Genomic DNA, 26,667 nt, shown 5'->3' with positions numbered 1-26,667 from the left:
GCCACCTTTCCTTCATTCATCTGCAATCTTCTTCCTGTATAGAACTGCTTTCCTTTGAGAAAATTTGTATAAACTTGGAAAGATGTATATTATCTAAATATACACAATTAAAATGTACTGTATATGTTTCAGGAAGACTGAAGCAAATCACCTTGAAATTTTATTTGCAACACGAAAAATCACATACTAGATTCTGTTTTGGTAACTGGTTAAACGTTTCTTTTCAAATATGTGTGTTCCGTATCATCAATTATTGACAGATTTGGTTGGCATGTTTTAAAATGAAGTTTTAATTATAAATAACTCAGTGGCAGCATGGTGTATTTTAAATGACAGTGCATCTTAAAGTCAAAGAGCAATACAAATTTTACCACTTACTTCTATAGTGATATTAGGTAAGTTCATTCAATTTTTTGAATTTGGAGTCCCTCACTTGTAACGATGGAAGAAAACATGTATTTCTGAATTATGAGGCTTTTCAGAAATGAATATAATATTATATGAATATAATCCTTGATTCAAAGAATGTGAGTTTCCTCACCTTCCTTCCTATTACATACCTACCCACCACTATATAGTAATTATCAATTTACAGAGAATTAAAATAAAATAGATTTAAAGCCATGTTTAGCTTAACATGGTCTTCTTTTAGTGATTAAAAACCCAATACTGTAAAATGCTTCATGGCTATTATTGTAGTCATCAATTATTACTGCATTATAAATGAGAGGAAGAATCCTTTTTAAGAACAGGATATTTAGAGTAATAAAGGTGAGAGAGCTAAAAGTTTGCCTTAATAAAACAACCAACCCCGTCTTCACTTTCTTCCTGAAATTCCCCTTAGCATTTCACTAAGAATACTGCATGCAGCGGGAGGGAGAAAGTCCTCCAACACTTCCGATTACTAATTACTCCATTCACAATTTCCATGATTTCAATCAACCTCCAAGTAAAGCTACACCCTCCTCTTAGACTTGAATATAGATTGGTTGGGTTTCTACTGTGCCTCAAGAAATACACTGCTACTAGCAAAAACATTTCACAGCTCAGTGTCAATTGCAAACAGCAGATTGTTTCTGCCTTAGAACGTATAAACTTGCAAAAGGGGGTCCAGAGTCTTACACTTTTGCCCGCCATCTCTTCTTCCTTCATTATCCTGAGGGGCATGCAAAGCTTTAAGTCTCCACCATCTCTGCTGTACACTTTTTTTCAGAATAAAAGTATCCTGATTAACAAAGCATTCTCACGCCTGTAATCCCAGAACTTTGGGAGGCCGAGGCGGGCGGATCACGAGGTCAGGAGATCGAGACCATCCCGGCTAAAACGGTGAAACCCCGTCTCTACTAAAAATACAAAAAATTAGCCGGGCGTGGTGGCGGGCGCCTGTAGTCCCAGCTACTCGGGAGGCTGAGGCAGGAGAATGGCGTGAACCCGGGAGGCGGAGCTTGCAGTGAGCCGAGATCCCGCCACTGCACTCCAGCCTGGGCGACAGAGCGAGACTCCGTCTCAAAAAAAAAAAAAAAAAAAAAACAAAGCATTAACCCTGGACATGCTGACCACTCTCATGGCTGTAGGGGCACTAGATGTAAGGAAACTTCTGGAATATTTAAGGTTTCTATTTTCTCTCACCATTTTAATATACTCGGAAGGAGGGAAAGAGTAAGAATGTAAAATAAACAAACAAAAAAACCTAGAAAACATTAACTGTTCAAAAAGGAAACCATTCAATGCAAAGCTCAGGAAAAAAAGGGGGGAGTATTTAAATGTGGTATTAAAAATGGTTTAGCTTCTTTGGTAATCTGAAAAAAGTATATAGCCGGGTTTACATCAGATCCAGGAAACCCGTGTAGGAATATTTTATCTCTATTTTTCTCTTTGCATTTTATGCCTCTCTCTCTCTTTTTCCTACTATCTCTCTTTTTCAAAAAAAGGTCTCTCTCTCTCTTCCTCTCTCCCTCATTATTCCTCTTTTCTCTCCTTCTTCTCTTTTTTCTTATTTGCCTTTACCTTGAGTGGACACCAGAAAATGACAAAAAGACATGTAGAATCAAGCTGTGAATGTCAAAATATCTGTCATATAAGAAATTCAGTTTTCTCTAGATGACCAGATAAATTTAAAAATTCAAAAAACATTGAAAATATAAGAATAAAATTAATGTTTTCACTCTAAAAATCAAACATCAGTCCATTAAGCAATTTTGGGATAGTCTGAAGTCCCAAACGCTAGAGAAGGATAGGGCATTCAGGTTAACTCAGGTGCATCAATTTAAAGCTAGTAGGTTTTTGCATCTGGTCATCAGATAAGTCTATGGCAAACAATTAAAGATTTCTCCCCCTTGAAAAAAAGGGCAAACAAAACTACAGTAAATAATAATTAATAATGGTTGGTATCCACTTGGGAACAATAATTTGTATATCTGTTTGCCTTAAAGCAGATGTGTCCAATCTTCCGGCTCTCCTGTGCCACTTTGGAAGAAGAAGAATTGTCTTGGGCCACACATAAAATAAGCTAACACTAACAATAACTGATGATCTAAAAATGAAAATCACAAAAAGTCCATAATGTTTTAAGAAAGTTTCAAAATTTGTGTTGGGCCATATTCAAGGCCGTTTTGGGCTTCATGTGGCCCGCGGGCCACGGGTTGGACAAGCTTGCTTTAAAGTGATAACAGTGAATCTAAAGTCTTCTCACTCCAAAAATGGTAACTATGTTAGGTAATACATATGTTAATTAGCTAGATTTAGTCATTCCACAATGTATAAATACTTCGAAATGTCATTTTACATATGATAAATACAATTTAATCTCTCATCTAGTAATAATAATAAAGGTCTATATTTCAACTATAGTTGTACTTTTTTTTGAGAAAGAGAGAGACAGGGTCTTGTTCTGTCGCCCAGGCTGGAGTGCAGTGGCGTGATCACAGCTCATTTTAGCCTTTACCGGCCAGTCTCAAGTGATCCTCCCACCTCAGCCTCCTGATTAGCTGGGACTACAGGTGTGCATCACCATACTCAGCTATTTTTTTAATTTTTTTTTTGTGGAGTCAGGGTCTTATTATTTTGTGCAGGCTGGTCTCAAACTTCTGGCCTCAAGCAATCTCCCCACCTCAGCCTCCCAAAGTACTGGCATTATAGGCATGAGCCAGTGTGCCTGGCCCATAGTTATACTTCTTATGCAAGGGTAAGTAATTAGGAAAAAATAAAACCCACCATAATAAATTAATAAAAAGCAATAGTTAACAGAAAAAATCACACATAAAAAAAATCATGATCGATGTGCCTGTTTTCTTTTTCTTTCCTCTTGAGTATCTACACGTATGCAGTAGGTCCTGGAGAAGGTTCCACTGAGGAAACGTAATTGGCAAATAGACTAAATTGGTCAGTCTTGGTAGCACTGGGTGGCAAGTCCAAATCTCAAAGAGACCATAACATTTTCTTACATAAGGGAAGGGGGAAACGCAAACACCAGTATCTTGGTGCACATATCAAAATGAACACTACTATAAACCTTAAAGAGCACTTTAAAAAAAATATGAAAGTAGCCTGCCATTCCAGCACTTTGGGAGGCTGAGGCAGGCAGATCACCTGAGGTCAGGAGTTCCAGACCAACCCGACCAACATGGAGAAACCCCATCTCTACAAAAAAATACAGAATTAGTTGGGCATGGTGGCAAATGCCTGTAATCCCAGCTACTAGGGAGGCTGAGGCAGGAGAATCACTTGAACTTGGGAGGTGGAGGTTGAGGTGAGCTGAGATCGCACCATTGCACTCCAGCCTGGCAACAAGAGCGAAGCTCCGTCTCAAAAAATAAATAAATAAATAAATAAATAAATATGAAAGTATCTCAGAAGTAAAAAAAAATGGGCTGATGGATAAGAGCCTTAAACTATTTCAGACCCTACAAACACTGCAGAAAAGTGCTATTTATTTCCCAGTAATGTATAGCTATACCAAGCATTTTGGTTCCTATGGTAGAAGGAGAAATGAATGTCATAAAACACAACAGAATATGGTCTAGGTTGCTGAGGAAGTGATTATTTTATTTATTTTCTCTCATTGTCGTAGTCATCTTGCATTTTCATTATTCCCACTATCTCTAAAACACGCAAAGGCAAAGCCAGAAAATTTTGTACATCAGCTTTTATAGGTTTGGATAGCAGGTAACTTGAAGGTGACTGAGGTTCCCAAATTATTTGTTAAATGTATCCATTTTCTCACTGTTCCTCAAAAATAAATGAGAGATGGCAGCACTCAGTGGATTTAAAAATAAAGCAATCATTGTGTTGTTATCCTGGGTGGGTATATATTTTATTTTCTAAAAAGTTAATCAGTTAAACAGAAAAGAAACTTTTTAAGTGGTGAAAGAAAAGTGGGTAGAAACTGGTCTTGGTAGTGAGTCACTGCTAAGGTGGCAATCTGGTCCCTAAAATATGGTAGAAATGAATATTCAGGGTTGGGGGAGTGAGGGAAAGGATAGCAAAAACAAAGGTAATTCAAAGGGTAGAATAAATTCTTGTAAAACAAACATTTTTTCCTACAACGGTATGCAGGAGTTCCTACAAAAATACTGGTTTCCTTTAACTAACACAGCCATGTGAAAAAGAACCAGGTCATTTTTCTAAACTTAGAATTATCACTGTGATACAAGAAGCTGTGTATTTGCAAACTCAGTATCAAGCCAATTATGTGGTACTTAAATTTCTTTTCAATCAGGCTACAGTAAATCCACCCTTGGGAAATATAAGTAACTAAAATATAAGTGTGCTTCAAGCTATAAACACAGCTAAAGAAAAAAAAAAAAGTGAAGAGATCTGCTTCCGAGAGGCATCATTTAAATGACAACAGGGTGAAATTCTGTAATTCCAATGACCTTTAGGACTAAGAATAAAATGAAACAGTATTCTTCATACATTTTCCAAATGTTTGGACTAAATTACATAGAAATGAAGAGTGTTCAGGATGACCAGCCATGGGCAACTGGGACAGGACACAATGTCACAAGTATATCTGAGCACGGAGTTATTAAAGCAAGGATATTCAAATAAAATGAGGCCACTGGGGCTGGTAACAAACTGAATTCTTACCAAAAGGTGAAAGAACCATCACATAGAATTAATAATAGTGTATGTCCTTGCAAAAATACGACAGAATTTAAAAAAAGGAAAAGAAACCTAGCCAACTATAACCAAAATACATTAAATGTGGACATTCTCTTTACCTGAAGTAATTCCCGTCCTGCATAATTTGTTCCCAACCTACCTTTCCAGCTTGGCTTCTAAATGCCTTTGCACTATCTTTTGAGTTGCCCTGAACTATTTCATTCCCAAATAAGAGATGCGTTTCTTCCTAGGAAGGAGCAATGATTAAGTCTTCCCCAATATCTCCTGATAGGATTGGTAACTTTCTCTGCTCTCACGGAATTCTATTTGGTAATTATTTCCTCTTCCTTCTCTCAAACTTTACTGTATTCCTCTTAAAATAAGAAATTCCTCTTACTAACCCTGGATTCTACAATCTAAAATGGTCAAACGCATGATCTTTAGAATAAAGTGAAATCATTGTTAACATTGTTATTAGAAAGAATTTAAGTAGCTAATAGGAGTATACCCTGTGTGTGTCCATGATGCATAGTGTTCCTTCATAAAAATCAAGAAACTGGAATTGACTGGGATCTGCTGCTATTGTTTGTTAATTGTTTGGTTGGTTGGCTTGGTTTATAAATAAGGATGCAATGACAAAAAGTGATGAAATGACCCCTTTACTGTCATCAAACAAGTCACAGAGTAAAACAGAACTTGAATCTCTCAATTACTAGGAAACCACAGTGTTTTTTACTATTTATTTATTTTGCATTGTATAATTCACTCCCAATCATTGGATAGATGATTTCCATTCTCTACCAATTTTGTAAAATATAATGGAAAAGGAATCAGAGGATCTTACTTCTAGTAGCAGAGCACAGTCCTAAAGAAAGGCAATTATAGTATGGAAAAATAAAAAAGAGCACTGTTTCTGGAGTCAAGGCAGCCTGGCTCTATCAGGCAAGCCAGGCTATCATGAGCACTTGGGCCACCTCCCTGGATCTTCATTTCCTAAACTATCAAACAGGTAGAAGAGTCTCCAGCCCCTACCCCTGTACAATGGTTCCTGCGAAGTTCCTGATAATGTGTGTGAAATCCAGCCCTGCACCTGGCACACAGTCAACTGTTGACTTTGAAATAAAATCTTTCTCAAAGATCCGTGTGTGTGCCTGCATTTTGGGGTGGCAGTGTACTCTCTTTTTCATGTGATTTGTCCAGCAAATAATTTTGATATGGTAATATTTTTTAAATTCACTATATTCTATATGGTGCTATTTTTATTACCTCCTCAACTTGGGATCACAGGTTCCAAAATTTATGTCTACTCCAAAGGCAGCTTTTAACAGTTCAGCTTCCTGACACACTGCCAATGAGGCACAGCAAAAGAGACGTGTATTGAGCTGAAGTTTCCATTTCGAAGTCTTACAAACAGAACTTCTTCGAGTTTATTAGTGAAAATATTTAATACTATAATAAGCAAAAAAAGGAATATTGGGTTTGAATTTTGTATTACAATCATTTTCCTCCTGAAGAAAATGTTTCAGTGCTGTGAGGGGGCAGGATAAGCGTGTAAGGATATACCTTACCTACAAAGCATAGAAACCTATCACAGAGTGGTTCTTCAACAGTTTGCAAAATGATTACCTGTGATCCCTTAGATCTTAATCTTTTTTCTTAGTAATTTATATTCTAATAGACCCCAACTGGAGCATATTTCGTAAAAATAATATGGATGTCAGGAATCCAGAAACTCGTTGAAGTCACAAGCATGCTAAGTATAGCTGTGTGACTTCGAGTAATACAATTAAATACTTTGATCCTAACTTGTCTTACCCAACAAAGGTAGTTACAACAGCTCTGACTACCCCATGGTTTGGGTGTGAGACTGACATTGAATATGTACAATGCAAACTGCTTTTTTAAGCAAAGGGAGCTTTATTATTATTACTATAACTAGCACATTATAATTATAGAATCGCTATTATAATTATCCAAGCTTTAATTCCTTAAAGGGAAATAAAGCTTTCTTAAAAAATCATTTGCTTTTATCATCACCTAAGATGAAAATGTTGCTCCCCCATTCCTGAGGGGATAAGGGGATCACAGTACTGCTACCAGAAAAATCATGATCGGAAGTCAGAATCGTATGACTTCACGGCCAGTTCACTGCGTGTGAAAACACATTGCATGGCGCTAAGTTCTTATGCTTTTATGGTTTCTTTTTTATATTTGAGGATTCTCTTAAAAGGCCCACATGGAAGGACTCAGAACAAAATAAATGTCTTACTAATATGATACGCATGTAGATTGCTTTAGGGTTTTCAGAACATTTCTGCTTTGTTCCTCACATCAACCTGTGTTTCCGTTGAGATGGGAACCTGAGCACAGGGAGAGCCTCATGAAAGACCAACAAATCTGTCAGCATCCACAGATGCCTTGTAAAAGGCAATACTTTCATGTGCAGAGAGGTTGGTTGATCCCTCAAGATGCGCAATGATTTCTTTCTTCCCCCACTAGCCCAGAGCCAGTTGCTCTTTTCGTTTTTGTCAACAACATGTCCTTTTTGTTCCTCTCCCTCCAACTAGGAAGTGGCATCACTGTCAGACACAATACACCTCTTCATAAGGAAGGCAAATGAGTACGTGCCAGATGGGCTGAGGGGATTACAACATGTTTCCTGCTCCCACGGTGACGCAATGTGGCTGGTATGAGAACTTATCTTATTCAAGAAGTTAGCTTCCCCTGGCAGAATTATGAGTCACAGTTCCTGGATAGAAAGCTCTCTTACCAACAGCACTTGAGGTGGGGGCTGGGGACTCCTTGGATGGATTACAGTAAAGGTCATTCAGAAAAGTAACATGGTCAGGACTGCTGGGAAGGCACCAGCACTCATTAGCTTCTGGAACCTCCATGATCCTTCAGCAATGGTAACACAGTCACCTGTCCCTCTTCCTTCAGGATGAGGGAGGACATAAAACCACATGATGAATTACTGGCATGAACCCAAACACGTTCCATTATAAAACTGGACAGTCTGGGGGCAGGGGAAAGGATGTAAAGGGACATGTATTCAACCATTTAACACCTATGTATTGAGCATCTGCTATGTGTCTATGTGTCAGTATTATTCTGAGTGTTTGGATAACAAACAAAAGTTCCTGAACAAGTTCCTGCCCTCAGGCAGCTTAAAATCCAAGACAGAGGGAGGGAAGGAGGAAGAAAAAGAGATGGAGAGAAAGGAAAGAAGGGAGGCAGAAAAGGAGGAAGGACAGGGAGTTCAGGAAGAAAAAAAGGAAGGAAAAGGAGGAGGAAACAAGAGAAGAGGAAGAGGGAGGAGGAGGAGAGAAGAGAAAGAAGGCTAATATAATATCAGGGAATGTGAGTGTTACAAAGAAAACTAAAACAGGATGGAGGGAGAGAGAGTGACTGGTAGGGATTTTTAGTTAAGATGGTCAAGGAAGCCTCTGTGAGCAGATAGCATTCAAACATAGAACTAAATCAAATAAGAACAAACTAAAATCAAGAATTATATTTAACATATTTGAAAATCAGGACATCAAGAAACTCACCTATCAAACGCGACACCTAACCAAGCAGGACAGATGCTGGACTAAACAGCCAAGGAGCTGTCTCCTAGCGCATCCCAGCCGAATAACATCTCCGGTTATCTACAGCCATTCCTCTGTGAAGCCCCAAAGGGCCAACAAGGCTAGAAGTTACTGCTAGTTTCAGCACTGAGCTGTACTCTGTCCTACTTATACCACTCCTTTAGTACTATTTTTGGTTTCTAATACAATGTTTTATGTGGCATAGAAAAGCTGAAACGCACCCAGAAAAGATGATCAGGATGGTAGGAGAGCTCAAATCCATGTCATATGAAAAACAGTTGAAGGCATATATTGCAGAACACTGAGGTCATGGTTATATGGTAGCTAACTTAACATTGCAGAAGCCCTCTCACAAAGAAAAGGAATTAAAGCAACGATATGTAAAGTATGGTTTATGGTGTTCAGGGGAATTTTACATGAAAAGCTTTATAAAATGAGGACCTCTAGGTTCCCTTCATTACAATTAGAGAACCATTGCATTAGGTTTTGGTTGTTTTGTTTGTTTGTTTGTTTGTTTCTTTTTTTTTTTTCAGTCCTACAGTTGAACCAAGTAAATGTTTGGAAAGAGACAAATTTCAGTTTTAGATACTAAAATCAAAGAGACAAATTTCAGTTTTATGTACTAAAAACTTTCTAAGAATTTGATTAGTCCAAAAACATAGGCTGAAATGTAATGATTAATAGTCAGAGATAGAGAGTGATTCTGGGCATAATTCTGGGAAGAAGAGGAGATCTGAAAAGATGGACTTTCAAATAGCAAGTCTCTTCCATATCTAATTTCACGTGATCCAGGCCCATGATGACTGAGTTTGGTTTTCAAACTCTATAAAGGTCTTAGCTGGTTCCTCTTATAAAGCAACATCCAGAGAAAGAATGAGTCTAAAGACAGATCCTTTCTTTTTCCTATATAGAAACAATATGACAAAAACTCATTATTTTATTTAACATCTCAATGGATTATTACCACTGATAACTTTTCCACCACTGGCTCAAATTTGAAAAACAGATTGTGCTATTATCACTCCCATTTTTCCCCCATAGGACCTGAGGTAAGGGAAAAAAGCAATATTCTAGTTGGCTGAGTGTGAAGGTAATGAAAAATACCTGTGTTTAAACACAGCGGCCCACTGCCCCCTGTGTACTCTATCCCATGAAGACTAGAGACAGCAATGGTTCTTTCCATCATCAAAATTCTATTATTCTGCTTTATGATTATTTGCTACCGCAGAAGACAATGGACATGAATAACATTATGTTTATTTAAATTCATTTTCAGGAAGAGTGGACTCATTACCCTACGCATGACTTGCATTTTAATACATTGTCAAAAGCCATTCACTTACCTGAGGCATCACTTTGCAGGATTCCATAAAAGTAGAGACTCACTACACACCACAGAAGTGTCATCCTGTAACCATAAATACAAAGGTAAGGGAAATCACTTACTACTTTCAAGGGCTTAAATAATAATAACTAGCATTCATGCCTGCTGACTATAGACTAGGGACTGTTCTAAGAATTTTACAATATTAACAAATTTCATTGTCAGAACCAACCAATAAGACAGGTTTTATTTTGTTTCTGTTTTTTTGTTGTTTGTTTTTCAATTCCCATATTACATGCAGATAAAGAAGTTTAATACACAGGTTTAAATAACATAACTAAGATCCTTTGGCTAGAGACAAGTTTCAATAACATCACCACGATCCTTTGGCTAGAGAGTGGTAGAGCTATGATCAAACTCCAGCTTTCTGGCTCCACAACTCTCTTTTTCACTGAACTATAACTGCCTACTTAAAAAATATTCATCTGGATTTTTTGACCAGGATTTACATTTCTGGCAGATAAATTCAACCTTCTTACCCCTCTTTGCATTCCCTTGGTCTATTTCTAGTTGGAATACTTTACAATCCAGGTACTTTTCCCTTTTAGTGACACATAGACACATAGAAAGTCTAGAAATCCTGGATTCAGACTTTGTCTGCAATCTACCATACTGTGAATTTATATTAAGGAAAATATATAAATCTAATTCCTGCTGTTCGTGCTCTCCTCTTCTCACTGGAAGACAGAAATGATGAGGGAGGAGTCAACTTTCTATGATCTTTCGCCTTCCTATTAATAACCAGCTGAAACAGCCAACTGCTGTGAACCATACCCTTACATTTGGTTGCATGATATTTAATGCTGAAGATGTGGAGATTTGACAGCTCTGTGAAGTATTTCTTTTTCTACTACCCAAGAAATATCTGGCCACTGGTAAAACCTCTGTGGGTTATAAATACTGAAACCTGAAGATGATGCAGAAATTCCATGCTCAAGAACTCTGCTTTCTGTGTCGAAGGTAACAGCCATATAAGAATGCTTGCAGAGGTCTTGATAACTTGTCCAGCTCATATTTCCAGTAAGTGACAAAGATGCTATTTATATCCACATTAGGCTAACTACAAAGATTATTATCTCAAATAGCCTATGCCACAAGTTTCACAACCACAGGTATGCAGCAGCTTAAACAGATCAAAGAGGTATTTGATAAATAAGATGACCATATAACATCATTTAAAATGGGCCAATTTTAAGAGCATTAAATTATAACAAAAGATATAAACTACACAAGGAATCCAAGAGGTGTGGCCACCCTAAAGGACTATGCAAGTTTCCAACTCCCGTCACCTCTCTTGACCACACCTCTCCAAAAATCTCTGGTTCATGCTTCCTTTTTTAGCCTGGTTGTACACAAATCACAGGTGAGCTCGTCATATCACAAGCTGTTGTTTCATCTGATAAATTAAATGATGTTTTCTTCCCAGCACCTCTTCCTTCCAGCTCTTATATTATGACCTTGGGGAAATCTTTTTCTCTCCATCAGTCTTTCATTTATTCAATAAAACATGTATTGAGCATTTTCTCCTTCTTTTCCAAATTTTTTAGTTTGTGTGTGTGTGTGGTTATGTAGCAGATGTGTGTGTGTGTGTGTGTGTGTGTGTGTGTGTGTGTGTGTGGACGAGATATGTTTTGATACAGGCAAGCAATGTGAAATAAGCACATCATGGAAAATGGAATATCCGTCCCCTCAAGGATTTATCCTTTGAGTTTCCAAGTTGCTATGATACAGCTACGAAGCCTCTCATGGGCAAAATGTAGGGTCTTCTCTAAAGGCACTTTTCCACAGTAAAGATGAACCCCCAGCAAGACACTTTAGTATCATCAACTATGTATAGAACACACATCTAGAGACACTTAAGAGATAAAAAGAGTTACCAGACAGAAATTCTAGCACTAGGCAGGGTCTAACAGAAACTTAAAATGTGCACCAAAAAAAAAACCCCCTGCAATATGAAGTAAAAAGTGATAAAAATAGAGAGGAACAGATAAGTGTTATTGAAGATTAGCAAAGGAAAGAGGTCACTCCAGCCAAGACAATAAAAGAAGACGAAACACAAGAGGTGACATTTGAACTGGTATGGATATTTAGACTTGAGACAGAAGGAACATGTGAGAAAAAGAAACTTTCAGTGGAGAATAATGCTCAAAGGTAGTGAAAGCATAGAACACAAATGGAAAATAGTATATAAAGAACTGAGTTTTGCTCAAGCACAAGGTTTTAGAAAAAGAACTACAGAAGATTTTGTTGGAAAGCAGACAGTGGTAGAATCATAATATGGCAAAGCCTTAAATAACAGGCCAAAGGCTTGGGATTTAAAGAGCAAATAGGGAGTCACCAAAGTTTTCTGAGTAGGGGAGCAACATGACCCTCAAATTGTACTTTATAGAGCACTGCCAGGCGCGTATTAGATAGATGGCTGCTAAATTCTGTCTTGAAGTCATTTTGGCTCCTGAATCTGTTATCACAATAATTGCTATCTTCCTAGCTTTGTGACATCTACAGACTTGATCAGCATGCAACCTATATCTTCATCCAAGTCATTAATAAATGTAATTAATAATTCTGCATTAAACTTGCCAGCAAAGAGCAACTAGAGATTTCACTGCATTCAGGGAACCGTAATTTCAGCCCCACTTCTCAGCTATGCTAAAGCAATACGCCCTCCCAAATTGCTGTCAGCTATTTAAAAACCCCCACATACCTCTAGATTTTCCCAGTTTGCCTGTTTATAAGCTGCTGAATTCCTAAGGCAACATTTATAAGACATTCTAATTAGTGTGATTGAGGGCCTTAATTGATATTCCCAAGAGTAACTGGATTATGCTGAAGGCAGCAAAGAGTCAGGTCACCAAGGCAAAGCTAATCTAAAGATAACCTGTCTGCGAACACACATCCAGGGCCAGTCCTGCCCTGTGATGAATTAGAATAAAGCAGACTGAAAAGGAAACGTGATTGAACAGGCTGGTTTTGACAGATTAAAGGTACCAATGTTATTGGGAGGCGCCTGGCTGATCTGAAACCTCTCAGAGAATGCTGGGTCATTTAGCATTGTCTTGTATTCAGCCTTAGAATTTTATTATCGTAAAGAGTAATACACTTTTGGTTGTTGCGTCTTAGAGTGAGAGGGTGCTGGGTCAGAGATGGAGGAACTGTCAGAAAGCAAAGGGACGTGGGTAATAAACACAGATTCTCAGTGTCTAAATTAGAGCTTAGCTTTAGATTATTGCAATGGGGCCTAACAGACCCTGCTGTTGCTTCAGATGATTCTAACCTACATATAATATCTTCCCAGCCTTTCCTGCATTATCCGTGTAATTTACTGCATGATAATCCTCATGCTCCCTCCCTTATCTTTTGGTACATCTCTCATATTTAATCCTATTGTTTCCCAGTATATCAACTTTAATGACTATATCATTTAGCAAGAAGATTTAAAATGTACTTAGTTCTCTGTAATCGACGACAATGTTAAAGATGGGTCTTCACGTGCTCAGCACCTTAACATCTACTTCCGCATATGAAACTTTTTATCGTCTGCATTCTCTAGACTTGGTAATCATTAGCATCTCCTTATCTGCATCACTCTGACCACTGAATTCTCTCACCTAGCCCGCAGGTGACAGGCTGAAACTAGGTTTGCTGTGCCAAGGGTGGGATTTGCCATGAATCACCATTTGTTCTGCCTGCCTTCCGCTCAGCAGCACTTCACCAGATCACAGGACTGGATTTGTCCCTCAGTTTCCTGATCCCATATATAGCTCTATACTCAGAAAACACCCACTTAGGCCTTCAGCCTGGTGCTCGTCAGCACCCTCTTCCAGGAGCCTACCTTATGTCCCTGTAAAGACTTGCAGTCAGCTAGATAAACCTCCTATAACCATGAAACTGCTAAACCTGCTTCATTCTGCCATGGTTGACTGACACCCTTTTCTATGACCTGCCCACTGAAAACTACGACCATTCGCACTTTTGAAAACTTGGCCATTCACGCCAAGGAATACACCCCAGAAGGCCATCCCCATAAAAGGTCAACCCTGTAGTCAAATCACTTCCTTGAGTCCCAATCCTGCCCTAATCCCATTCAGATCTTTCCTTTTATTTTCTCTAAGTTACTGCAAAAAGTCTGAGTAGGTCTGGCATTTCTGTGGTTACCTAAGATACAATGAACAAGCCTTTGAAGAAAACAGGAAAAGCTACTAATTATTCCATTCTACACAAAAGGGATAGCATTTAGTAAGACATGAGAGTTATTTTCATCATCAGTCTTTTGTGGAGTTTACAGGGCTTTTTTTGAAAATAGGATCCTTGTGCAGAATATTTCAAATCTAATATTTATCAGCAAATGAAAGTTTTGGCAAAGTGACATGGAAGACTCTGATTTGGGGTAAAATGAAGTAAATATTCTTCATCCTGTCTTTGCAGTTATAAAACGCGGGCATATTTGATGGAACAACTGTTTGAGGATTCTAAAAGTAAAAAATAAGGCATTCTTTTCAATAGGACATTCACCAGATACACCGTATCATGTATCATAAATCAAATTTTAACAAATTTAAAAGAATTCAAAGTATGTTCTCTCCCCATAGAATTAAACTAGAAATCAATAACAGAAAGATAATAGGAAAATCTCCAAACACTTCAAAATTAAAATACATGCCTTAAAATAAAGTATATATGGGTTGAAAAGAAAGTTGTAAGGGAAATTAGAAAATATTTCTAACTTGACAAAAATAAAATAAAACATACCAAGTGTGTGGGATGCAGCTAATGTAGTGATTAGAGGATAATTTGTAGCACTAAAGGCTTATCTTAGAAAAGAAGAAAGATAGCAAGCCCATAATCTAATCTTCCACTTTAAGAAACTACAGAAAGAAGAATAAATGAAACAAGCATAATAAAGGAAATTTTATAGAGTAGAAATCAAATAATTTCAAAACAGGAAATATATACATATAGAAAAATAAAGAAACCAAAAGTTAGTTCTTTGAAAAGAACAATAAAACATAAACCTCAAGCCAGGTGATACGTTAAGTAAGGAAAAAAGGTACTATCACTAAAAATAGAAATGAATGATGGGACATGACTAGTGATCACGGAGATATTCAAATGGTAATAAGGCAATATTACAAACTCCAGGCTCATACATTCCACAACTTAGATAAAATGGACTAACATCTCAAAAACTACAAACTACTAAAGCTCAGCTAAGATGAAACAGACGACCTGAATAGTCCAATAACTATTAAAGGAATAGAAATATATTCATCTCCAGAGTCACCAGAAAGGAACACAATACTGCTGACACCATCATTTCAGCCTTACGAAACCCTAAGCAGGGAACCAGCTAAGCCACATTGTTCTTGGCCTTCTGACCCACAGAAACTGTGCAACAATAAATGGGTGCTTTTTAAGCAACTAAGTTTTTGGTAATTTGTTAAAATGGTACTAGAAAATAATAGAAGAGACATACCATATTCATGAACTGAGAAACTCAACATAGAGAAGTCAATTTTCTCCAAGATGGCCTAAAGATTTAGTTAATTCCAATCAAAATCCCAGAAAGATTTTTTCTAGCTATAGAGAAACTGATTCTGATATTTATATGAAAATAGAAAGCCCTAAGACATTGAGAAAAATTTTGAAAAAGAAGAATAAAGTTGGAGGAATCATACAAGAAACAACTCAATTTTAAAATGTTTAAGTCATAAAGAAACACTTTACCAAAACGATATGCAAAAGTCAAATAAACACATGAAGAGTCATTCAATGTCATTAGCCATCAGGGAAATGCAAATTAAAACCACAAGGAGATACCACAATACACCTTTCAGAATGACTAAAATTAAAAAATAAATACTGACAATACCAAGTGATGAAGAGGATGCAAAGCAATTGGAACTCTCATACTGGTGGAATATGAAATGTCCATATACCCTCTCTGGAAAACAGCAGTTTCTTAATAAAGTTAAACATAAACTTGCCATACAACCCAGTAATCTCACTCTTGGATATTTGTCCAAGGGAAATGAAAACTTACTTTCATACAAAAAGCTATACCTGCATGTTTGTAGAAGCCCTATTATTAATTGCCTAAAGCTGGAAACAATTCAATTGTCATTCTACAAGTGAATGGATCAACAAATTCTGTGGCATCCAAAAAAATAGAATAATACTCAGCAATACTAAGCAATGAGCATTATATATGTTGATATAATAACTTGGATGAATCTCAAAGGCATTGTGCTGAATTAAATAAACCAACCTTAATAGGATGCCTATTGTATGATTCCATTTAAATAACACTCTCAAAAAGACAGAACTGGAGTGACCGAGAACAGATCAAGGGGTTAGGGATAATGGGAGAGTATGACTGCAAAAGAAGGGCACATGAGAGTTGTTTGGAGAAACAGAACAGTTTTGTATCCTGTTTGTCACAGTGGTTACTTGATTCGATACATGAGTTAATATTCAAAGAGCTGTACTCCCAAAAAAGTTAATGTTACAGTGCATTAATTAGAAATATATTTTAAGTGGTATGATTTTTCTTTTTAAAAACTCAACAAATGATTTATGGAGCCTTTTTGACAGTTTAAAGAAAGGTGTTTTAACCTAAATATGGTTTCTATTTTCAACATTTACTTTGAAAATAACACAGCCTTGTCATTAAGCACTGAATATTCCAGAAATGCCTAGCAGTGGAGGTACATGGAGAGATCAATGAAATGCCCCAACTTTCAGCTTACCAAGCCAGTACTGCTAACCTTTACTGATATAACAGCAGAGTCAAAGTTCATAAGAAAACATTAGCACACTCCTCTTAGATACTGCCTTCTCCCTTTTTAGGAAATAGCTTCAAAGTGCTCAGCACTCTGAGAGGACATATATACATAATATACCACCTGCCATCTTTAGAAGCTTGGAATAGAATGTGAGCAGATTGATTCCCTTTTGTGCTTTAATATTTTGAATAGCAACATGCTCTGTGGGGTGAGGTAAGAAATACCATCATGAAGTCCTGTCCCTCACAAGGGAGAACTAGAACTGGGTTTTCAGTGAGTGGAAGGTGAAAGAGCAATTTAAAAAGAGCACTGAACTTGCAGTTCCTAGTTTGTTTGACTGTGTGATACTGGAGAGCCTGAGAGAAGAGGTGAGGAATATTCATACTGACCTCTTAGGAAGATCTGTAACTAGCTCACTGTCTTGATGGTTAATTCAAGACTGATGTGCTAGGGGTTCATGGATCCTTCTAAACAAGGTAAGGAATTGTTCCATTGTACCCTCTCTCCAGAGGACAATTTGATGATTAAGTATTTCTCTACTTAGGGACACTGAGGCTGGGGAATGATAGAAACTAATACAACTACCTCACCATTTGTTGAGAGGAAAGTCTTAACAATTGCTGTAAAGTGCTTAGCACCATCCAGGAACACAAATTGCTCTCAGCAAATGCTGTTTATCATCAACTCTTATTAAGTGAGATAATAGATGTGAAATAATTGAGGAACTATGGAGTAGTAGACAATGTGAGCTACCACTAATATTATTTACAAAAAAGAGCCCAAATTACGTGGTTCAAGTTGACCATTGAGTATTTGGCAAAACTTGCCATGCCCTACACTTTGTGTGTACTAGGTCCAAGTTTAGTGCTCTATTGTCAAAATATTTCAAAGAAGATAGTTTTAGTTGTCAAGTCTGGCCTTGACAAATTACAGAAAAGCCAAGATTACTGTGATAGCCTCTATGATGAAATTGGAAATTGGAAAATCGTGGCTCAGGAGGTTTCCCTTCTCTAGGCCTCATATCCTCATTTTTAAAATAGCAGTAAAAATCCCTGTGCTGACTATCTGATAGGGTAGATGGAGAGGATCAAAGGATGTGACATGTGAAAACATACATATGTGTGTGTGTGTGTATACATACATATATATATATAAAAAATGCTATATATTATGACAATTAGTGTTTATTATGAAATAAGCTAAAGTTTTTGCTTGGTTTTGTTTAAATTTGAAAGAAACTGAAGGGGTAGAGAACTTAAAGTCGATAAGGAAATGTTTTATAAATTGCTTAATTTAAATCAGAAAATGAATTACCTTTGAGATATTAAAGGGAGGGGCAAGAGTGAGGCTTCTAGGGCCTGCTGATGTTCTAGTTCTTAGGTGATGATCACATGACGATGCCTATGTAAACAAAATGAAAAAGTTGAACACAATATTTATGTACTGTCAATATGTTGTGCTTCTGTAAAAAATGTGGAAAAACTTTTTCGTTGGTTAAAGCGTATTTAAGACAACAGGAAGAGGTTACAGAAAGATACAGAACTAACTATAGAAGATAGATAGATAGATAGATAGATAGATAGATAGATAGATAGATAGATAGACAGATCTCTATCTATCTATATATATAATTTTAAACCGAGGAAGCAAATTAAATCCAACACAGAATGTGACAGGGAACTTCAAGGCTGGAAGGAGGAGTAATTTATGATGAGATGGTCAAACACTACTTTTAATTCACTCAGCAAATATGTATCATGCTCTGGACAGTCTGGAGGAAGAGGGAGAGAAACTATCCCCTTCCTCATGAAGCTTGCAATTTTTGGAGGTATTCAAACCACATACTTTTAATTATAACAATGAAAAAACATTAGACAAACCCATAGGGGAACATTCTACAAAACAACTGCTGTGTAAATTTCAAAAGTATCAAGGTAGGAAGTTAATGCAAAATGGAAAGGCTGTTCCAGGCTGAAGGAAGCAAGGCAAGAGAACTAAATGCAATGCCTGATCGTGAAATGAATCTTTTGGCTATAAAAACATGTTTGGGATTATGGATCAGGAAAAAAATGCTCTTTCTGCTGTACTGTAACTTTTTCTGTATGTTTGAGATTATATGTTTCTCTTCTCATCCAAACCTCCCCCCACACAGTATAGAGAACAGTGCTGCAGCAGAGGCATTTCAAAGCACCTGAGAGTAGGGAGTAGAGAAGGAAGCGGAGTAGAGAGGAGGGAGGAAGGAGCACATCACTTGGGCAATGTGACGCCATTTGAAGTTCAAGTAGGGAATTAGGTGAAATTATCACCACCACAGGCCCAAAACAGACATATCACCTGTGGACTAAGATCCAGTCACCTCCAGGTTAGGAAATTAATTACTTTTCCCAGCATAGAAAAGTTTCTTAGCCATCTGAGGTTTTCTCCCCTTAAATTTCACTTAACGACATTGCCACTAATAACCTCTCTAATTCAAAAGGATGGTCTGAAGATCACGATCCTGTCTATGAGACTCTCGAGAGAAAGGCATTTTCTACAAGCTGTTAGAAAGGACAGAAGTAACAAAATTGTGGCTGAGTTTTCATAGATTTCTCTACAAAACCTGTAATTCCCTAGCTTCTGAATCTACAGCATCAAATTTGATTCAAATCAATGTATTTATTAAGCCCCTACTTTATACACTTTAATAGAAGTTGTGCAATATATAGAAATAAACACACTGTTCATTTATTTAATCAGGGATCTCACAGGTAGGGAGCAAAGTTAGAGACACACACACACACACACACACACACACACACACACTAAACAACAAGAAAGCAAATGGCCAAAAAGGATACAATTCCTCCAAAATCCGAGATGAAAATTATCATGTCCTGTGCTGAGCAATCTGCAAAAGGACTGCATGGCCAAAAAATAAATTTGAAAAGTAACATATCACGTATCTCTTGGAGATTCACAATACACACTGGCATTTTAAAGGTTTGGAGTAATCTGCCCAGTGAATACTGTGGTCCGCTTGGCTTAACACAACATTAAGCAAAGTTATTTTGAGACAGCCAAATATAAAGGGTCCCCAGGAGAACCTCCGGCTGGTCTGCACACTGGTTGAACGGGGTGGAGCCATGAAAGTTTGCACCATTTGCAGGGGGGAGGAGCCTGCCTCTCCTGTTCCTGGGTAGTAACCAGGGTTTCAATCTGTGAGGCGGGAAGCCTGCTAGCAGGACTCTCTCACTTTGCTGAGAGCCCGTTTCCTTTTTTTTTCCTTTTTGCCCAATAAATTCCATTTTTCTCACCCTTCTGTGTGTCTGTGAGCCTAATCTTTCCTGGTTGTGTAACAAGAATCCTAAGGAGAAAGTCCTACAACATCTTTGGTGCCCAGAACATGGGGTTTGAGAAAGGGTGAGTGAGATGCAAAACAAGAAATCTCTTTCCCTCTCATTTCTTTTTTTTTTTTTTTTTTTTTTTTTTTTGAGACGGAGTCTCGCTCTGTCGCCCAGGCTGGAGTGCAGTGGCGGGATCTCGGCTCACTGCAAGCTCCGCCTCCCGGGTTCACGCCATTCTCCTGCCTCAGCCTCCCGAGTAGCTGGGACTACAGGCGCCCGCCACTACGCCCGGCTAATTTTTTGTATTTTTAGTAGAGGCGGGGTTTCACCGTTTTTAGCCGGGATGGTCTCGATCTCCTGACCTCGTGATCCGCCCGCCTCGGCCTCCCAAAGTGCTGGGATTACAGGCGTGAGCCACCGCGCCCGGCCTTTCCCTCTCATTTCTAAACCTTCTCAACCTCAGACTTCTGAGGCTAGAGGAAACTGTGCCCCCACCACTGTCACGCTCAGGGGTCAGAAAAGACGGCCTCAGTCCAACCCAGCCTTTCCTTGGCCTTTTCCTTCTTTTTTCCGGATGGACGGGCAAACGGCAGCTCCCCGTTCCCCGTCCCATCCCGGCTGGGGCTGGGGAATGCTATGCATCCATGGCCTCTTCACCTCCCTTGGCCAAGGGGTTCAACCCCATTGGAGAGCAATTAAGTTTCTCTCCCCGGTGGAGGAACGCATTTGCATAAGAATAAGAGGTTCTTCCCAGGCATTAAAAAAAATTTTTTTCTTTCCTTTTCTCCATCAGGTCAGGAGTTGACTTTTAAGCGTGGTGGTTGTTTATTTATTTTTTGTTTGTGTTTTCCTTTTAGAAGACATTTTACTAGGCTAGGAATGATAAGGATCAATGTTTATATTCTCTGTAAAGTTTTAATTATGAAAAAGGATTTGTGAGGCTGGTCTTAAGTTGTAGCCAGTCTGGTGTGCTTTGCAGTCTTTCTGTATGGTCTGTAAAATACTTCCTTGCGGGCCTCCATCTTGTTGTACGTCCTCGGGGGCGTGGCATGTAACCACATGGCAAGGCTTTGTTTAGCTTACCTATGGCCGGGATTCAATCCTGGCTTAGGAAATGAGTTCTTCAGGGTTTGATATCTGTATGACTTTTTTGCTTTTGCTATTTGTTGATTCCCTTCCCCTCCACAAACTGCATTGGATTTTCCTTGCTCTGAGCCTTTAGTAAAATCTGAAAGCCAGAAATATTGGCCACTTGTCGAGTATTAAGGGAGTTAAAAGGATTTTCTTAAGGACCGCTCAGCTTAATTAAAAGTGGATATCCAAGTTATAGTTATATTTAAAAGGCCTTTATGTTTTCCTTTTCTTGGACCTTGTTTTTCTGGAAAAAGTGCTTTTTTCTTTTTTTCAGTCAACCAAATTATTTTTCTCCATTTTGCCTCACCACTTTTAATGCATGCATGAGAGGGGAAAGACCTCTGTTTTTCTCATGGAACCCCCAAAATTAAAGCACTCAGAGGCTAATAATCCAAATATGAGATTGCCAAATGAAGGATCTTGTGGGGACTGGGTGTAGTTGTATATGTGTTTTGTGTGTGATGTCTATAAAAAAAGCTCTAATTAATTGTCCTAAAGGAAGATAAGCACTTGGATCAAATGTTTTTAAAAGGGAAGACAAAAGCTGTGGTACCTTTCAGTTCACGTGACTTTAATCTTTGAGAAAAATGTAAATTCTTGCCCAGGATTAAAGAATTATTTTAAATTAGATAAGAAAGCTAAAACTTCAAACAAGCAGTAGAAGGAGTGTAAAAATTAATCTTGCAAAAATTCCCTGTGTGAACATATTGACTAAATTCAAAAAGGTATTATATGGTTTTTCTGTAAATTGAGGATTGAAATCAAAGCACAACAAGGGACTGTTAAGGCACTAATTTATTCTTTAGCAAAATTTGTAAAGGGCTATAAAAGGATTTTTGCTTGTTAAGTTCCTGAGTCATCATTTTTGTAAAATAATTTATCATAATCTGGAATTCTATTTCAGAACATCAAATGTTTTAAACTTCTTACATACTTATCAGGCTTCCCAAAATCAAACTTTAGTTACAAAATTGTCTTTCCTGACACCTGGCTTTTTGGATACTTCAAAGGGCCCCTGGAGTGTCCAGAAAAGAGAGGTAAACAGGATTATTTAACATGTTTAGGTACGTTGGATTGCCAAAATGATGTTCAATCTTCTTTAGGAAATATTTTGGTGAATAATGCTAATATATGTTCCAAAATTGTATGGAATTTCTAAAATTCTAATATCTGAGTATATGCTATCAATCATAACAAGCTTGTTATATTAAGTTATTGTAAACCACAGAGATAACCAAACTTTGTCAATTGTGTTTCTAACTGTAACTACCCTGGACATTTTGTTATTCACAGACAATTGTTGACTTGTTTTAATCCTTTTCAAAAGATTGTTTATAATGAGCTATAGAACTTTGACAGGGGCTCTTAAATACAGGTTTTTGATAACTTTGGAGATTGTAACAGTGGAATAAAAGAAAAATGTACAGGACTCAAAGAGCTGTAGTGTTCACAAATATCAAGCAAAACAAGAACTAAACAGACTGAACTGAGAAAACTGAAACAATCTTTCCAACTTTTACTTGGAATATTGCTGATCTTTGTTTTGTTTTTCAGAGTCAAAGAAACTTATTTTGAACTATTTACAGCCTTTAATAATTGAGTAAGTATCCTCCTGTGAAGAAAATTTGAAGCATGTTTGTTTCTCTCTGCCTGGTTCCTCTAGAATTTGGAAGCTATCTGTGAGTATTTTTAACTTACGGCAATATAGTCGTTTGCATCAGTACAATAAGCATCCATTTTTCTTTTGCAACAGGACACAATTGCAGAAACTGTTTGTTTTACCAAGGGTTTGACTGAAGAATATGCTCCCCTTTAAGGAGTCAAGCTCAACTTGCAGAGCCAATGAAAGCTCTGGGGAAAAAAACTGGCTTCATACTCTTGTCTACACAGTCCTTGTACAGGGTTCCTGACCTGTGGTCAGTAGAGAATGTCACTTTCTAACAGGCCCAAGAGCTCCAAATTTATCTTGGGACCTTAAGAGGAGAGGATCACCCAACTCATAGGTATTTGAAGATACAAACCCATGGTTAGGCTCAGCTTTAAAAGGTCTTATCTGAAATTCCTTGTGGAATAGAGTTCCACCAAAACCAATCTAAAAGGTGTATGTAGAAACAGATATTCTTGCTGTACTTTATGCAAATAATCAGGCCAAATATAAGACTAAAGTCTATTTTGCAAACAAGTCAGTCCTACCACGATTTTTCTTTTTAACAAAAATAAGGACTGGAGAGAAACTATGCTTGAAAACTTCTCACACCTTTGTCATTAAATTCTAAATTCATTAGTTATTTTTAAGTTTTTGCCTACATTTTAGACTAATCCTGCTTGTTCCTGTGAACCAACCAGCAATCTCTGGCTGCAGCTCAGAAAGAGCAAATGGGATGGGTAATGTAGAAATCTGGATCAATATTCTAGTTCTGAGCAATTATCGTGCAAATTCTGCCAGGTGATGGGAATAAATAGTATATCCATCAGCTGGAGGTTTCCTTTTTGGGAAAGTAAGACCAAGGGAGCTAACCAAAGCCAAGCGCCATGCACCCAAATCTTAGCAAGCATAACTATACCCACCAGTTATCTGGAAATGTCACAAGACATCATTTTCTCTCCCTTCTTGGAGGACGACTCAATTCCGCAGCTTTACCTCAGCATTTGGCTTATGATAAGGAGTCCATGCAATTCCCCATGAGACACATTATTGTCCCAAACTCAATTTCAAGCTTCAGGTCAAAGCCCTAGGAAAGAAAATTGGATCTAAGGGATCCAGAGGCCATGATAACAGAGGTTAAAAGGCACAGTTGAGGTGAGAATGGCTAATTCCTGCCAATTAAGCCAAGCCTCCCATTTCATGGATAAAGGTCATGCTAGTATCCCTGGCACAAATGAGGTCTAGGGAACTCCAAGGCTACTGACAGTAGGGGGAATAGAGGCATAGGTGAGAGAAGATACTTCCTATTCTCTAAGCCCCCCCTGTTTCATGGGTGCCTGCTTTGGCAACCATGGGCGGCACGTGCCAAGGCTGCCAGGACTCAGAGATGCAAGGATGGAAGAGGGAAAGAGGACACTCTTCCTTCTCTCCCTCACGCACCCCAGGTATTTGCTAGGAAGAGAAGGGAACCAGGGATGCCTGCTCCCCTCTTTCTAGATGAGTAGCCATCCATCTTCACTCCGTACCCCTTTAAATGCATCCTGAACCCCTGGAACTCCTTTGAAAAAAGCAGCTTATTTTTTCCTTTCTCCTCCTCTGCCCTCTCTTCACTGATAGGTAATTTTGTCTCTATACTACAGAACACTCCCCTTGGATGCAGGCTCCAAACTGGGAAAGTTAATTTCCCAAACCTTAAACCAGTTGACTTAGTATTGGGCTCGGGAGAAGGCAACCCAGAAGCCTGACATGATGGTAAAAGGGTAAAAGTTGTTTTACCAATCAGGCTTTTGGCCTCTCTCTGTGCAAACTGGTAAAAGGCCTCAGGATTTTTGAGCTGTCCTCACCCCCGACTTGTTTCATTTAAATACATGTTTTCTAATAACCCAGTCTGTCTCTTCTCACATTCAGGCCATCAAACTCCAAATGGTCTTGCAACCGGAGCTTTGGATGATGGCCCCTTCTGCTGGGGACCCTTACATAGGCCTCTGAGGGAGCTCTGACTGTCATTTTTCCCAAAACAGCACCCCCTGTCAGCAGGAAGCAGTTAAGATTGGTCTCCATCTTTATCCTTATCCTTATTCTAATGGCAGCTAGATGTACTTCTTTCAGGGGGAATGAGACAGTCAAGTGTAAAGGGGTCCCTAGAGAACCTCTGACCAGCCTGCGCACTGGGAGAATGGGGTGGAGCTACAGAGGTTCACACCGTTTGCAAGAGGGAGGAGCCTGGTTCCTCTTGTTCCTGGGTGGGAACCAGGGGTTCAATCTGTGAGGCGGGAAGCCTCCTAACAGGACTCTTGCTTTGTTGAGAGTCCCTGTTTCCCTTTTTTTCCTTTTTGCCAAATAAATCCCATTTTTCTCACCCTTCTACGTGTCTGTGAGCCTAATCTTTCCTAGTCACGTGAAAAGAACCCTAAGGAGAATGTCTCACAACAATTTGACCATGAACCTCTTTTTATGCAATATACCTATTAAGGTCTCATGGAAAATACTGCCATAGTGAAAACTCTAATTGCAGAAGGGGGAGCCCAAGCCATAATTCCCAAATCAATCCTCAATCCACAAGATACAGATGATTTTTAAAACTCCACTTGAGACCAAATTGTCTATCACTGAAAGGAAATAAGTCTTAACTTTCCCACAGCCTAATTCAAGACTCAGGTCCCTTCTGCAGCTTCTCCAGAGTCTCTCTCATCTTGCCTTTGTCTAAAAATAAACTATTCCTTTTCTAAAACCTCTGGGTAGATACCTACACCTGTCTTAGAGGCCTGAGAAACTTCTGCCCTGATCTGTTTTGTTTAGATTTTTTCTTACTACTCTCCTTTTTTGACTGGGAATCTAAGTTTGTGTCCACAGTGTATAGTCCAATTTTGTTATGCAATAAGTACATATAAATACAAGGCAATTTCTGGGTAGTAGGAATAACATTTCTCTAGGACACAGTCAACCTCTGTTCTAGTTTGCTGTTGATTACTTTTTAACTGTGTGGCCTTGGATAATGTACTTAACCCCTCTGAACCCTGGAATCCTTATCAATAAAATAAGGATTACCTCATAGGATGATATAAGGATCACAATAGATCATGTTTATGATAAAGCTTAATAAATGGTGAAATATGATACAAATATGAGACATTGATACTTTTATTTTACATATGGATTCACAGGCACGCTGCATTATCTAGTCAGGCCACAGGTCATCCTAAGAATGGAATATTCTCAAAAGGTTGGTTCAAACAGATGCCACCGTAAGTTCTGTGACAGCCATCAAGATCCACTGCCTCTGAAATGAACCTGTCTTCAGAAATTAGACTTGAATGGATCCAAGGCATCCTTGGCCTCACAAAACAGTCAGTTGTCCCTTCACAGAGCACTTCCTAGTATCATTCCCCCAATTCTTTCAGAAAAATGATTGGCTCAATAGAAAGCATCCAGCAGAAGAGGGCCTCAGTTCCCCTCCTGTTCAGGTGCCCAGAAGCCTCGGAGAGGCCCCCCTTACTCCATCAGACCCTGCAACACCCAGGGGCTCCTCATTCTCCATTACACAGAGAGATGGGCAGGACGAGCCCTCTCCTAGTTCTGACTCTGGCATTAACAAGTGCTATAACATTGGCCACATATTTCATTGTCCCTATGCCTCAGTTTCCACAACTAGTTTTATTAGGAAGAGTTAAAGTCAAGAGTTAAATTAGAACATTCACAGCAGACT

At 38.4% G+C, this 26,667-nt stretch overlaps 1 protein-coding gene across 17 annotated transcripts in view, besides 1 other annotated feature; it reads right to left on the bottom strand.

The window, feature by feature from the left end:
- The window catches only part of IL1RAP (interleukin 1 receptor accessory protein), a 145,666-nt gene that overhangs the window by 85,361 nt on the left and 33,638 nt on the right, over nt 1-26,667 (bottom strand). For 5 of the 17 annotated variants that reach the window (NR_157352.2, NM_001167931.2, XM_047448083.1 and 2 more), the window contains 2 exons: nt 18,174-18,260; nt 10,037-10,101 (listed from right to left, as the gene is read on the bottom strand). The exons of 1 other annotated variant lie outside the window; for it this stretch is intronic. Coding sequence is in view for 14 of the 16 variants with exons in the window: in NM_001167931.2 (NP_001161403.1) it covers nt 10,037-10,100 (64 nt within the window). In the remaining 2 variants the exon portion in view is untranslated. Of the gene's footprint in view, nt 1-10,036; nt 10,102-18,173; nt 18,261-23,884; nt 24,049-26,667 lie in introns of all 17 variants that reach the window. 11 more of the 17 variants (NR_157353.2, NM_001364879.1, NM_001167929.2 and 8 more) reach the window with 3 other exon arrangements.
- Nucleotides 7,334-8,533: an enhancer, noted in NCBI's record as "P300/CBP strongly-dependent group 1 enhancer chr3:190283646-190284845 (GRCh37/hg19 assembly coordinates)". NCBI's record gives its function as "activates an origin of replication core promoter dependent on BRD2, BRD4, P300/CBP, MED14 and CDK7 cofactors, with strong dependence on P300/CBP, by STARR-seq in HCT116 cells {active_cell/tissue: HCT116}" and the evidence as "EXISTENCE:reporter gene assay evidence [ECO:0000049][PMID:35650434]".

Source organism: Homo sapiens, chromosome 3 (assembly GCF_000001405.40).
Source record: "Homo sapiens chromosome 3, GRCh38.p14 Primary Assembly".
Classification (NCBI taxonomy): Eukaryota; Metazoa; Chordata; class Mammalia; order Primates; family Hominidae; genus Homo; species Homo sapiens.
Note: the sequence above shows the minus strand (reverse complement) of the source record. Positions and strands in the feature narration are given on the sequence as shown.